We start from the raw sequence: 15,780 nt of genomic DNA on the forward strand, positions 1-15,780 counted from the left end.
CCAAGCCCAACATACAGCCCTTCCCACGGGCTGGTGAGGAGAGCTGCCCCTTAGTCTGTTCTCCAACCCAGCAGCCCTCTTTCCTCACAAACCACCCTTTCCACTGCATTACTCAGGGAAGAGCTTTGCATGAAAATCCTCACTTAATAGCACTACTGCAGAGTCAGTTCTACAAAGGAACTGCGGACTTGGGACGTGGTTTGAAGACAACCAAGAAGAATGCAACCCTCCACAAGCTGATAGAAGTGGAGCCGAGACAATGACATTAGAGTGTGTAAAGAAAACGCATGTGTTTGTATGTGTGTGTACAACAAAACACACACGTTCCACTGCTTCCACATGAGATAGGGGAAAGTACAGAAGTCCTGGGGGTGAGATGGAAGGAGCATCTTTACTGAAGGTGTACAATCTTAACTCTGTCCTCGGTTCATTGTCAAATCCAGTAATTCTGGGGGCTGCCTGCTCCACGTCCAACTGGGACCACACAGAAGGTCTGCTCACAGTGGGTGCAGAACAATAGGACAGAGTCCTGTGCAGCCCCTCCCAGCTCTGGCCAGTACCTGGCACACTGTCAGCACTTGCTCAATGCTAACCATCCTTATTAGAAAGGAAACCAAACTCCCTAGCCCCACCGCCTGAACACAAGTGACGTAAACCGACTAGGATTCTTCCACCCTACACACACACATACACACCACAGTTGTGACTTCTCACAGACAGGACTGGGTCATTTCAAAGAACCTCGTGGGGAGGCCTGCAGCACCCTACAGAACTTCTTCATGTGCATAGGGCCACACTGTTGATCAAATCTATTTCCAATAGCATGATGGGCAAAAGTCACCCTAGCACCACTGCCTTTGGCAGCCTGTTTCCTCTCTGCTTCCCCAAGATCTACTTAGACTTCAAGATTGTCCTAAAGTGTTCTAAAATGTCCTTCAAGTTACCAACACCTCAATTTATTCTCCAATAACAAGGGATGTTAATACTTCCCCTTCTTACCTTCAATTCAACAAACATTTAAGTGCCTATTTCATACAAGACACCTGGAGAAACAAAGATGCCTAAGGCCCAATACCTGACTATGAACTCTAAGAGAGAATAATTCATAGAGGCCCTTATGCTGAAAGGAACAATTAATTTTGACAAAAGGACTTGAGAAGGCTCAGAGAGGGCAACAATAGAGACAAAGCATTTTGAAAAGTTAACATGTGGGGAAAAGCCTCCCGGGAGGATGGCAGATGCATAAAGGCATGGAAGTGACCCCACAGGCTCAGGACATTCCCAGTTGTGTGCTGTGGCTCGAGTGAAGCCGAGAAGCATTTCCCAGAAGCAACTTAGGTTAGCATCAGACCATGGAGTCTTGAAGGCCCTGCCAAGGTGTCTGGACTTGACTGGAAGTGCTAGGGAAGATCTGGAAGGGAAGGACCGAACCCAGTCTGTACCCAAGTAGGTGACTCTGGTTGTTCTGGAGGGGAGAGAAAAAGGAGGCAGGGAGGTTACTGAGGCTGATGGTGAAACCCATGGAGGAACAATGAAGAATTCTGACCTGGGGCAGCAGCTGGGTAAAGGGAGAGAAAGGAGAGAGTGATGAGACATCAGAGCTTGAGGCATCTGGCTGGAAGGAAGGAGCCTACAGCCACAGAAGGTGGTGCGATGCTGTAACATGCCAACTAGTTTCAGAAGGGGACCCACCCCTGCAGGAACCAAGCACAGCACTGGAGCTGCTGCATGTGAGGTATCAGCAAACAATTTGGTCTAAGAGGAGGTTAGATACTGGTATGCACAATTAGAAGTGAGGGCAGATGGAGATTTTTAGGAATCATCAACATAAAGGCAATATTTAAACCAGAGAGTAGATCCCTTAACTTGTTATTATCAGATGTGATAACAGCTGTGAAGTACCTCTTAAACTGTCAGGAATCATACAATACCCATGAATTATACCCCTGCTCTCTCTTACCATGGCTTCTTCAAGCCTATAAGGACCAAAGCAAGGAATGAGTTCTACTATAAAAACGTAAACCATTGGTTCTCAACCTGGCTACACATAAGAATCCTCTGGGAAGCTTTTAAAATCCTGATGCCCAAGCCTCAGCCCAGAACAATAAAATGAGAATCTCTGTGGGCGGGACATTAGCATCAGTCTCCAGTATTGACCAATGTGAAGCCAGGATTGAGAACCACTGGATTAGTGAGTCTTTTTGGTACACAGCAATTGAGTCATAATTGTTTACCTGCAAAACAGAATTCAATGATGATGAAGGAGTATCATTCAATCAATAGAAACATTGATTCTTCAATGCATACATTCATGGAGGGTCTCCTTTATGGCTGGCACTATGCTAGGTGTTGGGGACAGCATTAAACAAGACAGAAGTGGTCTGTCCTCATGAAGCTAATAATACTCTGGAGGAAGCAGACAATAAATTATGACCATAAGTACTGGTAATTCCCAGTCCATTTTTCTAGATAAGGGAAATAAATGTTCATTTGATATATATTCTCTGAGGGCTTATGGTGTACCAAGGCTAAGGATATAATAAATTAGACAAGCTCCTGCTCTCATGGAGGAATCCAACCTATACAAACAAGAAAATGAGTTAACATCCAAGTTGTAAGCACGCTAAGGAATATAAACAGGATGAACTGACAAAGGATGACTGTTGCGGGTGGAGAGCTACTTTACATTAGGGTGGACTGGGAAGGCCTCTCTGAAAAGGTAACAATGACATGAGACCTGAAAAAAGGCAAGGGAAGGAGCCAGTCAAAAAAAGGTCTGAAGGGGGTTCCAGGCAAGGGATCTGGCAAATGCAAAGGTCTTGCCATAGGAACAAGCGGTTGGAATGACAGCTGATGGAGACTAAACCCAAGTCTCCAGCCTCTGGCTCCCATGTTTTCTCCACTTGGAAATATTTCTGTCTCAATGTCCCTAGTCATTATATACTTCTTATGTACCATTTGATTTTTTAAAAATAAAATGGTATGACTCAGAACCTAGGCTTTGGAGGCAGATATCTACAGGTTCAAATCTCTACTCTGCCACTGACTTACCAGCTGTATGGCCTGGGACAAGTTACTCAACCTGACGGTTTCTCATTTTAAAAAATGACTTAACAGCTATTTCATAAGATTGTTGTAAAGATTAAAAGTGATTGTGTATACAAAGTTCTTGAAATACTGCAAACACTTAGTAAATAGCAGGTCCCCTCTAAGCAGGACAGGGGCTGCTCTTATCTATCTTGTCAGATAAGAGTCACTGTATCTCTGTTATACTGAGGGTTCACAAAGGAAGTAACTCTGAGAGTTCACAAATGAAGACTGCAACTGGGAAGGATGGGGAGGGAAACGTTTTAACCTAGAACAATAGATGCAAAGACACCAAGCCAAGTAGGACATGGACACGGACACAGACACAGACACACGTACAGGCAAACCAAGTGAGCCTACATGCAGTCTTTAGAAAAAAGCCCAGGTGAGACTCTGGCCATCTGACTTCTCTCTACTGTGCAGGAAAACAAACACAATGTCCTGACTCAGTCTAATGCCAGATTTTGAAATATTATACAAAAGTCAAAGACTCTGCATCTTGATATGAAAATCTGAGACTCATGTGAACATCAGGAACAAGAGCGAGGCTGACAAACTTTACCACATGTGCTGCCTTCCTGGGCCTGGTCAGTCGCTGGGCTTTGAAATGTTTGTGAACTGAGGCCCAACTCACTTGCTTTACAATGATGTCTCAAAGAAACTGATGATCTTGCAAGCTGAGGCAGAGATAAGCAGCCCACTTGTTTGGATTTTACTCTTTTATTTCTGAAACGGGATATTTTCAAGTTTAACTCATAATGGTTATCTGATGTGAGCTTTAAGAACTTTTCATTATATTTTAAACTCTGGAAATGTAACCGTCTCGGCTGCCCCATGACAGAGAATTTACAACTTGGATCTGTAGTTTTATAACTTCTCTGGAGAGTCAGATGGAGAGAGGAGATGAAACAACCACACATATTCAATTGGCTTATCCACTTAAAATGAAGTTTTGCTTGGGTTTAGGAATTAAGAGTATCTCTTTATTTTTGAAGTAAACTTATGAAGTCTAGCCAAATGATTCAAGTATGAATAATTCCTCCATGGATTGTATTTCAAGCAACACAGTACAGGATTTACCCGATAAGGTTCTTAAGATTAGCATCCATTTGACAAGCAGTTCTGCCTATATGAACAGGAGATTTAGACCTTGGTTAGTCATCCTGGAAATGCCAGCCTTCTCAGCAGCACTTTAGAGAAAGTTGGAGTTGGAGTGGTGTGGGATCCCCTGGCTTGGCAAGGTCTTTACGTTATCCTCAATACCCCCTGGCACGCCCGCAGACAAGCGCTTTGCCTGTGGGCTTCCCATTGTTACCCGGGTAGCCCCTTCCCACTTGGACCTGTGTTGAGCTGGGCCCCACCCCCAGCACTGAGGCCTCTCCCAGCCTCCAGGATCTCAACTCAGTCCCAGGCAACACAAGGGAGGCTATCAGCTCCCAAAATGACCTTCCCTCGGCCAGCGTACTTTCCTTGGGGAGGTCTGTGTAGCCTTGGGAGATAAAGTCAAGGTTTAAAACAATCTGAATGCACGGCTCTACTTTCCATCTCAGCTAACAGCTTTAAGCGAAAACAGATATGAGGTTAGGAAAATGGTTTTTCTCCTTTGCACCTTGCTTCAAGCGAGTTAACCCCAACCATGACCCGACCCGCCGCCCCACGGAACACGCCGCCTTGCCAGATGCTTCGGAGTCCGCTCAACCTCCTCCTCGACGAGTGTCTACACCTGATTACACCGTTTTAAAGCGGCGGCGCCCTCAGCGGCCTAAGTGGGTAAGGACAGTTGGGCTGTACGATCTATCGGAACCTCCTTCCCACCGTCCCTCCCTTCCTTTGCCTTCCCTCGCCTCTCCCCACCGCGACGCAGAGGGAGCAACACAACCAACTATTCATTCTTTCTCAACAAAGGGAGAGAGGGAGGGAGATGTTGTCAACAGTTACAGGGCAGGCTCCTTCGCTTTCTTTGCAAACTTCCCAAGAGATTACCGGAGAAACTCGCCTCCTCGGAGCCTTGGGCTTCCACCAGAGCGCTCTGGGCCCTCGCATCTGCCCGACCCCGGCCGGCTTCTGCGAAGAGGGGACGGGCGGGACAGGGCGGGGTGGCCGGCAGAGCAGCTCCGACGGGCAGGGGGTCGGGCGAGGCCAGCGCCCGGGAAGATGCCGCTCGAGTGCCACCGAGCAAGATGCCTGGCCGCCAATCGCTGAGCGCTCCCCGCCGTGGGCCACGTCTCGGGGAGTCCCAGCGCGCTCGGAGGGCCTGGAGAGCGCAAGCCCCAGCCCCACTTCAGTCACCCCCGCCCCCAACGCCAAATCCGCTGGCGGGGGTGGGTAGGGACCAACAAACGCCGGCTCTACTTTCCCCAGAGCCTAACTTTGTCCAACAAACTTCCTAGCGTGTCCTCACCGGGGTGGGGGAGGCCCAGGCGCCCCGGGAGGAACAGCACCCCGAGGACGCTGGGCGCGCGGCGGAGACTCACCTCCCGGCGCGGCGCTGGGCGCTCGGGCTCTCAGGATCTCTGGACCTCCGGCTGGGGCTCAAAGGCGCCGCGCGGCCGGCCTCGCACCGCCCGCGCCGCGGCTGCTCCCGGAGCTGGGGACGCTCATGGTCCGCGGGGCGTGCCCGCCGAGAATCCCGCGCGCGTCTAGCCGGTGCGCCCCGCAGCTCCGGCTCCGGTCCCGGCCCCGTCCCCCGCCCGGCCAGCAGCAGGCGCAGCTCTGAGCCGGCGGCGCGCACTCCGGCCCTCAACTGGTGATTTGCGGCTCCGCGGCCCCACCCCGGCGAGCCGATTCGCGCTGCCTTGCGGAACCCCCCGAGACATTTACATTCGGTGACCTAGCCAGGCCCTCCTCTGCCCGGATTTTAGAGTTTGGCTCTCTTCGTATCTCCCCAAGGAGCCAGTCCTCAAGTATAGCTCGATCACTTCCTTTCTGAAGCTCTCTCCAGAGACAGCCTCGTCGAATCCACTCCTTCCCCTTCCCCGCGTTATTTAATTACCCAACAGATCTGCTTTGCTCGTCTGCAGACACCTGGCTGGCTTTCAATGTGAAGGGCTTTGATGAGACAAAGCCCCAGGTAACCACAAATGAACCATCCACGGGAACAGGCAAATCAATTGCACTCGTATGGACGTATTGAAAGCAAAGTGCGAGTTGGCGGTGGCACTTCAGCACTAGATGATTTGGTGGGGTGAAAAATTGGAGCCCACTGGAAAAGACTTAACACTATCTTATATCAAGATCCATTATAAAGTCATAGAAATAGTAGAAGGATAGACAAACTGACCAATGGAATAAAGTCCAAAAACAGATTTACAATATGTGGTCACTTGATTTATGTCAGGTGCTGCTGTGCTGTATTGGGGGTCAGATTAGCTCTCTCTTTCCAGTAAATGATGCTGGATCAACTGAATCCCCCCATCCCCAGTCAATTCCAGATGGAATTTTTCTTTTCGAGACAGAGTTTCGGTCTTGTTGCCCAAGCTGTTGTGCAACGGCATGATCTTGGCTCACTGCAACCTCCGCCTCCCGGGTTCAAGCAATTATCTTGCCTCAGCTTCCCAAGTAGCTGGGATTACAGGCGCACGCCACTATGCCCGGCTAATTTTTGTATTTTTAGTAGAGACGGGTTCACCATTTTGGTCAGGCTGGTCTCGAACTCCTGACCTCAGGTGATCCACCCACCTCGGCCTCCCAAAGTGCTGGGATTACAGGTGTGAGCCACCGCGCCCGGCCTCCAGATGGATTTTAAAGGTAAAAAGTAAACCAATAACACGATCCAAAGAAAATGTCCAAAAAAATCTTCATTACCTTGGGGTAGACAAAGACGATGTCTTAAACACATGTAGTACTAATATAAAGAAAAAAAACTCATCATTGGACAAGATTAAAATTAAGAGCTTCTGTTCATGAAAAGACACCACGAGTGAAAAGGCAAACCGCAGAGTGAGAAAACATAATTGCAACACATACATCCAAAAAAGGTTTGTTTACAGATATATAAAGAACACCTACGGATCAGCCAGAATAAGGCAGAAAATCCAATTAAAAACAGGCAGAATATTTCAACTGTCCTCAAGAGAGGACAAACAGGCATTTCTCAAAAAAGCCAATAAACATATGGAAAATATCTCAATTTATTAACCATCCCAAAAATGCAAATTGATATTTCAATGTGATCTAACTTCATACCACCCAGAATGACTAAAATTAAAGGGCCTGACCATACTGCTCGTCAAAATGAACTTTTTACAACCACTTTAAAAACCTGCTTGGCATTATCTAGAAAAGCTAAATTAACATGTATCCTATGACCCAGCAATTCCACCCCTAAGTGTGCACCCAACAGAGATGTATACACATATTCACCAAAAGATGTTGAAAAATGTTTATAATGTATCTCTTTATGACGGCCAAAAAGAAAACAACCCAAATGTCCATCAGCAGAAGAGAGATAAACTGTGTAACATACAACATAGTAATAAGAATGCATGAACTCATTTACACTCAACAAGATGAGTGAATCTTACAAATAGGATATTGAGTGAAAGAAGCTGGCCGCAAATGGGTACATACTATATGATTCCATTTACATAAACTTCAAAAATAGTCAAAGCATATCTGTGATGTTAAAAGTGAAGACAGTGGTTATATTGAGCTGTGGATTATGACAGAAAGGGATCCCAGAGGTGACTTCTGCATGCTGATAATATTCTATTTATTAATCCATGTCATTTTATAAAAATCACCTGTCCTTCAGTTTATAAAAATCAATTGATTTGTGCATGACTCTGCTTGTATGTTTTACTCCAAAGAAATTTTTTTTAATTGTACTGTATTGGGTGTACCATTTTAATCCCTCTTAGAAACAGTTGTTGGTAAGTCTACAAGATTCTAAGTGCAGCATCCTTTAGAATGAGTACCTTTCGCTTATGAGTGTTTTTGTGGGTTAGTCTTTATCCTTCCTACTTCATTAGAAGCATGAATATTTGATTTTTGTTGTATTTTCCCCCAAGTGTTTAGTGCAGTGAATGTCAAACAGACCAGCTAGTATATTTCTAAATCGAAGTATCCGAAATTCATTTACTGATTTTCTGTTGCTCTGAGGTGTCACTGAGAACAGTGGAAAAACATTAGTTTTTCTTGATTTTCAAAGTTCCCTGAGTACCTACTATACAGTATCTACTGCATAACCTACAAAGTTTCTAGTGCAGAGCATGGGGGAGGTAGCAATAAAGAAAGACCAGAAGAAAACCTTGGGCAAGCCATTCTTCCCCTCAGTCCCTCCATTTCCTCATGAGTAAGTGAATATATGCCCACCTCACAGGTTTCCATGAGAAGTCAAGGAAATAATGGATGTGAAACTGCCTAGCACATAGCAGGTTTCATTAATTATCACTAGAATTGATGACACATTCTATCATTTGTCTTCACAATATCCCTGAGAGATAGGAGGCATCTCTATCCTCATCTTACATGGGAGGAAACAGACTCAGGAAGGTTAAGTAACTTCAACCATAAATTCATTCAATAAATACTTGTCGTATGCCTACTGTGTGCCAAGATGCATAGCTAGTGAGAAGCAGAATCTGAATTTGAATCAGGTGTTTTTTGTTTTTTGTTTTTTGTTTTTGAGACAGTCTCGCTTCTTTGCCCAGGCTGGAGTGCAATGGTGTGATCTCAGCTCACTGCAACCTCCGCCTCCTGGGTTCAAGCAATCCTCCTGCCTCAGCCTCCCAAGTAGCTGGGATTACATGCACGTGCCAGCATGCCCAGCTAATTTTTGTATTTTGAGTAGAAACAGGGGTTCTCCATGTTGGCCCAGCTGGTCTTGAACTCCTGACATCAAGTGATCTGCCTGCCTCAGCCTCCCAAAGTGCTGGGATTATAGGCGTGAGCCACTGTGCCCGACCTGAATCAGGTATTTTAAGTTCAGTGGATCTTTCCATCAAACCACAACCACATTCACATTTGTATCCCCTGGGCCTGGCACATGGTAGATGCTCAATATATGTTAATGGTTTAATAGTGGGAGTAATTTAAATATAATTTTTTGACTAGGTAGTATTCACAGAACCATTGCAGTATGGTTCACAAGTTAAAACTATATAATAAGGTATCCTGTGAAAAGTTCCCCTCTTACCTCTGTCTCCCATCTGCCCAGACCCCCTCCCACTAGAAATAAGTACTGCTATTAGTACTGCTATTAATATTGTATGTGCCTACCAGAGTTTCTATGTGTGTGTGTGTGTGTGTATGTGTGTGTGCGAGTGTTATTACCCCCTCCCTACACAAAAAGTAACATACTATACCCATTGTTCTACACTTTGCTTTTTAAAAACCACTTAATATATCTTGGAGATTTTCATATATTAGTACAGAGGGACTCTCTTCATTCTTTTTTGCATAGCATTTCTTTGAAGAGATGAACCATAATTTACCAAACATTTAGCTTGTTTCCAATCCTTTCTTATTACAAACCATATGGCAATAAATAAAATGTGCAAGTATTCTGTAAAATAAATTTCCAGAGGTAAAATTGCTGAGTCCAAGGGTATATGCATTTGTAATTTTGATAAATAATGCCAAATTGCCTTCTATAAGGATTGTACCAATTTCTACTCCCCAGCAATGTAAGAAAATGCCTATTTCCCCACAGCTTGGCCAGAAGGTGTTATTAATAACCCCTTCAATTTTTGTCAACTTGATAAGTAAAATATGAATTTCAGTGTAATTTTAATTTACATTTCTTTTATAATAAGTGAGGATGCTTATATTTTCATGTTTAGTAGACTTTTTTTTCTTTTTTGGAATTTGTATTCCTGTTTTTCTACCCATTTGTAGGTCTTTTTCTTACCAATTATCTAGGACCTCTTTCCACATTAGGAAGTTTAGCTCTTTGTGCTATGAGCTTCACATATTTTTCAATGATAATATTAAAAGGGGTGACATATGCAAAATACTGTTATTTTAGGAAGCAAGTAGAATGAATTAGAGAAGTGAGAGACAAGTTGGGGGCACTGATCAGAAGGCTATGGAATCACTTCTTGCCAAATGACAAGGGCTTTCTCTAGGCTGGTGGGAATAGAGGTAAAAGGCCAAAGTTATTACAAAGAAATAATTGACAAGAGTTATTAATTAGCTCCAGGCACTGTGGTGCATGCCTGTAGTACCAGCTACTCGGGAGGCTGAGGTAGAGGATCACTTCAGCCAGGAACTTGAGGCTATAGTATGCTATGATTGTGCCTGTGCATAGCCACTGCACTCCAGCCTGGGCAATACAGTGAGCCCCATTACAAAAAAAAAGTTAATAATTAGCAATGATAACAATTACGATAACATTAGCTGTACTTGGTTTAGAAGTAACTACATGCCAACTACTATGCTAAGTGCTTTACAAGCTTTAAGCCATTAATCGATACTTGCCCCATTTCACAAATGAGAAAAGTGACTTTACCAATTAAGAAACTTACTCAAGTTCAAATGAGATTTAAATGGCAGAACCAAAGCTAACCCCAGGTCTGTCTGACCCCTGCTGCTTGGCAGAGTGGAGGAGAATTATCAAAGGTCTTCAGTCAGAGTGCCTGAGTAACTGCCTGGCTTGGCAACAGATGTCAAAGCTGGAGAACAGCTCCCTTTGGCTGGAGGGACAAACTCAGTTTTAGAAACGCTGAGCATTTTTCAAAGCTCATTCTTGTCCATGACCACTCTTGCTATAGTGTCTTTGTGAGTCAAAGAGGGTAGTATCCCTATTTTACTGGTGAGAAGACTCAGGTACCACAAACTAAATAACCAGATGTTCTATTCCCTAGGAAACCTTCCCTGACACCCAGCATAGGTCAGGTTCCCCAGTTAAATGTGCCTTACAGCACCCTCTCCTTCCTGGAATTTGTCACAGCCAGTAATTATTCATTTCCGTTATTGCTGTTGAATACCTGTTGCTCTATAGACTCTAAGATCTATATCTGGTTTTGCCTTTGTTTTGTTCTTAGTTTGGGGCCTGGCACTCAGTACTTATTGAATGAATGAACTCCTTTGGCTTTTCACCTTTATATTACATCATAAATCTCCCCATAGGCTAAATAAATATAATCCCCTGGATGTTGGTCATGCTATAAACAATTTTAGAATTCAAACTTCTTCAAGTCCACAACCAGGCTTCATCTAAACATTTATTTTATTTTTATTTTTATTTATATATTTCTTTTTGAGATGGAGTCTCGCTCTGTCACCCAGGCTGGAGTGCAGTAGCATGATCTCAGCTAACTGCAAACTCCGTCTCTTGGGTTCAAACGATTCTCCCGCCTTAGCCTCCCAAGTAGCTGGGACTACAGGTGTGCGCCACAATGCCAGGCTAATTTTTGTATTTTTGTAGAGACGGGATTTCGCCATGTTGGCCAGGCTGGTCTTGAACTCCTGACCTCAAATGATCCACCCACCCCAGCCTCCCAAAGTGCTGAGATTACAGGCGTGAGCCATCACACCCAGCCACACTTAAATTTTTAAATATTGCAACCCTGGGTTCCTTTGCCCAAGAGACACATGAACAGACAACATAACAATGACTTCTGAGCAGCACAAAAGCCTTTGTCAGGGAGCACTCAACCTGGAGTTGATCCCTTCCTGCCACAAAGTAATTGGTTGAGTCCCATCCCGTAACAGCACTAATTAACAGGCAGCTGGGGTAGGCATTAGATGAAATGCACTTTAACAAAGAACAATCCCTAAAGTTCTTGCTTTGCCAAGCCCTAACAGTAACAGGTAAGGAATAACAAGTGCTTAAGCTATCACCAAGGAAGATCAATCAGAAAAGCTGAACTTGAACAACTGCAGAAAGAAAGATAGAGAATTCCCTGAAGTTAATATATCATAACTACTGATACAAAGAGCTGGCAACACTGATATGGACCAGAAAGGCAAAATTCTGCAATATTTTCAGAAGTCTTACCCTCTAGGTGCCTGCCCCTGAAGAGCTAGCCATGAACTTGGTGTCCAGTCTACTAGGCAGGGAAGTCAACTCAGCTTCCAAAAGGCCTGTGTGATAGCTGCATACTTACTATCACGTTGGCCAGAGAAATCATTGTCTGAGGACTATGGCTTACTAAACCTCAGTAAATACTATTGAATAAATAGTGACAGAGTGAAGAAAAGATGAACTTCTTGACAACATAGGCTCATTTTCTATGCAAAGTACACCTCAACCTGATTGTCTATATTTGAACCACCCATTTCAAGACTTACTCTTATCACCGGACTCTGGAGCCTGTTTCCCATTTACATCCTCAGTCTAATTACTAGCTTTTTTTTTTCACTAATTATCTTCTTAATTCAACAATTCAAAGAAATACACCAAAACGTCTCTGGATAGGAATTCCAGATGATTTAATTTCCTCATTTACACAGCTTTCCTTTCCAGTTTTTCCTTACAGTAAGCGTGTGTGTGTCTGTGTATATATATATGTATGTTTTTTTTTACATTACTTATTTATTTATTTTTGAGACAAAGTCTCACTCTGTTGGCCAGGCTGGAGTGCGGTGGAGCCATGACAGCTCACTGCAGCCTCCATCTTCTGGGTTCAAGCAACTCTCCTGCCTCAGCCTCCCTAGTAGCTGGGATTACAGGCGTGTGCCACCACACCTGGCTAAGGTTTTTTTGTTTGTTTTTGTTTGTTTGTTTGTTTGTTTGTTTTTTGTATTTTTAGTAGAGACAGGGTTTCACCACGTTGGCCAGGCTGCTCTCAAACTCCTGACCTCAGGTGATCTGCCCACCTTGGCCTCCCAAAGTGCTGGGATTACAAGTGTGAGCCACCATGCCTGGCCAGCATATATTATTTTTATCATGTAAAATGTTACTTAAAAACAAATTCAAAAACATATTTTAAAAATATAAACAAAGTTTTAAAAATTCATTGAGCATCTACCATATGGAAAGCATCACTAGCCCTGGGAGGTATGAAAGTGATCACATTACCAGGACTTTCATCCTAGCAGGGAACATGGCATGGATCTGGAGTGAGAGAAGGATGAGCTGCAGCAGAGCTCCCAGTGCTGTGGGAACGCAGAGAAGGGAGAGATTAAAAGTGCTGGGGGCTGGGCGTGGTGGCTCATGCCTGTAATCCCAGCACTTTGGGAGGTTGAGGCCAGTGGATCACCTGAGGTCAGAGGTTCGAGACCAGCCTGGCCAACATGGTGAAATCTGCCTCTACTAAAAATACAAAAATTAGTGCTCACTTTGGCAGCACATATACTAAAAAAAATATAAAAATTAGCCGGGTGTGGTGGCACGCGTCTGTAGTCCCAGCTACTCAGGAGGCTAAGGCAGGAGAATCACCTGAACCTGGGAGACGGAGGTAGCAGTGAGCCGAGATCGCACCATTGCACTCTAGCCTAGCAAACAAGAGCAAAACTACATCTCAAAAAAAAAAAAAAAGTGCTGGGGACAGACTGTTGATGCTGGTGATGCCCATAAAAATAAAGAAGAGGGAGGAGTTGTAGGGGGGCAGGGAGCTTGATTATGGAAATGAAGAGAGAGGAAACAAATGTATGTAAAACCTAGTGGCGATGGCCACCTGACTGCCTTCTTGAGTTATGACCGGAAAGGGCTCAGTTTAGATGCTTCAGGCTACCCTGGGGTTGGGGGTGGGTGGTGATGATGAGCTGTGCTGCCTTGTTCTAGCGCAGGAGGAATGCAGATGGTTGAGGGAAATGCAGGGAACAGAAAGCATTTATGCTTCACCAACTCCCCTATACAGAAGGAGCCAGACTGACAGAAAAACCTGACTTGCTTGGATGTACCAACTCAGTCTCTGAGAGCAAAGTCAGCCTTCCAGGGGTTCACTTTCCTGTACATACTAAGATAAACATCCTAAAATGCTCATGGCAGCATCATTTACAGATAATCTGTAGAGGAATTATTTAATTATAGCACATCTATACCTGGCATGCACTCTGCAGCTGATAAGAATGAGGTAATTCCATAGGTACCGATAGGCAGCTGTGAAACGTTAGGTGAAAAATACAAGTTGCCCTTTTCATGTGAAAATAACAGACTTCTGTAATTGTGTGCATTTGTGTGGGATTATGTACAAATGTCTTGAAGAATTTCCTCCCATCAAACCGAGAAGTGAAGCTGACTGGTGAGCACAAAGGGATGCTCCTTTTCTTTCATGTTATTCTAAACTGACTTTTTTCTGATTATCACTAATTACTTTTATTTTGTTTTATAATTTACACAGTGCTTACTATGTGCCTGGTACTGTTCTAAGAACCCTACATACATTAACTCATTTGATTTTGACAATAATCTTATAAGGTGGCACTGTTCTTTTCCCCTTTTACAGATGAGGACATGGTCCTTGCCCAGGTCATATAGCAATATGTAAAGGAGCTGAGCTCTGAACCCAGGCCATCTAGTTCAGACTTTGTGCTCTTAATCACTAGGGTTCAGTGCCTCAAAAAGACTAAATAAACAAATAGCACTGCTTTTAGAATCAGACACATCTGCATTTGAATCCCAGATTTTGCAAGTTAGCTGTGCAATTCCTAGCAACTGTCTGAATTCTAGATCAGTTTCCCCATATGTAAGATGAGGATAATAGTTACATACCTCATGATGCTGTTGTGAAAATTACAAAAAATATGTTTAGTGCCAGGCACTTAGTGAGCACTTGATAAATGTAGACTATTTTGACTATCGAGATTAAACTACTAGGCCTTTAATGTATATTCGTTTTCTAGGCCATTTTCTTGACTGGCTGCCTGACATTATTGGGTGCTTCAAGGGTGAGTGGAAAGGGGGAACTTGGGAAAAAGGGGGAATCTGACTGAAAAAGTAGAAAATGCTAAATTAACACTTCTGTTTCACAGTTTTGCCTAAACCGAGTCCAATTAAACCATTAAGATGAATAATATGTGTATGAGTTTTAGAGTCATTCTGGGGTAAAATATCACTATACTCAGGAGGAGAATATGGAGCCTCAGGGATTGCCCAAGGCCACTGAGCAAATTACATAGCAGAGCCAGGACTGAAGGTGAGACATTCTAATTCCACATCCCATCCTCTTTCCACAACACCCACTGCCTGAGCCAGTGTGGGGCTATCAGGGTTGGGAAGTGGTGACTTCAGCCTCTCAGAAGGAAAGCATTATAGAAATGATAGTGGTAATGGTCCCACTGGGGAACAGCCTCCCATTACTTCACAGGCTGCTGTTGCTGAGTGGGAAAAATGGTCTCCCCTGCACTTCAGAGCTAAATCGAAGCAGGGGCAAGTATGACAGACACACCCCTTCCCTGTGGGGTACACACAGCCTGGGGTCAGATTACTGTCCCTTTCTCTCGGCTGTTTAAGGTGCTTATTTTTACAGGAGTTATCATTCTACAAAGCAGGACACAATCCACCCTGCAAGAGACAGGCGGCCTTGGCAGGCAGGTGGTTGCCAGTGGGTGGTGGGAGGGGCCAGATTAGAGCCTTGGTCCTTGCTCCCAGCTCAGCAGCCTCCTGCTTGTGCCTGTTCCTTCCTCATTTTCCACCCAGGAGCAGAAGGGGCAGGCAGAGCCCAGGAAGGAATGTGCATCTGTGAGGCTCTGACCAGCAGCCCATTTTTCAGGCTCAGTCAATCCCTGCAAAGTAAGGGTCATTATCCCATTTTCCAGGAAAAAAAAAATGCAAATGGAAATGGACAGGAAAGACCAAGAGTTCTC

The 15,780-nt window shown here is 44.4% G+C and overlaps 1 protein-coding gene across 29 annotated transcripts in view, besides 1 other annotated feature; it reads right to left on the reverse strand.

Annotated features, from left to right (window-relative positions):
• The window catches only part of BCAR3 (BCAR3 adaptor protein, NSP family member), a 286,411-nt gene that overhangs the window by 114,296 nt on the left and 156,335 nt on the right, over window positions 1–15,780 (reverse strand). For 13 of the 29 annotated variants that reach the window (NR_178024.1, NR_178023.1, NM_001412062.1 and 10 more), the window contains exon 1: window positions 5,562–5,801. The exons of 10 other annotated variants lie outside the window; for them this stretch is intronic. Coding sequence is in view for 1 of the 19 variants with exons in the window: in NM_001412073.1 (NP_001399002.1) it covers window positions 4,168–4,192 (25 nt within the window). In the remaining 18 variants the exon portion in view is untranslated. Of the gene's footprint in view, window positions 1–4,167; window positions 4,214–4,762; window positions 4,819–5,070; window positions 5,335–5,488; window positions 5,802–15,780 lie in introns of those variants that run through there. 6 more of the 29 variants (NM_001261409.1, NM_001412072.1, NM_001412073.1 and 3 more) reach the window with 5 other exon arrangements.
• Window positions 5,544–5,823: a silencer, noted in NCBI's record as "silent region_1084". NCBI's record gives its function as "represses an Ori minimal core promoter by ATAC-STARR-seq in GM12878 lymphoblastoid cells {active_cell/tissue: GM12878}" and the evidence as "EXISTENCE:reporter gene assay evidence [ECO:0000049][PMID:35858748]".

The sequence above is a fragment of the Homo sapiens genome, chromosome 1 (genome assembly GCF_000001405.40).
Source record: "Homo sapiens chromosome 1, GRCh38.p14 Primary Assembly".
Lineage (NCBI taxonomy): Eukaryota > Metazoa > Chordata > Mammalia > Primates > Hominidae > Homo > Homo sapiens.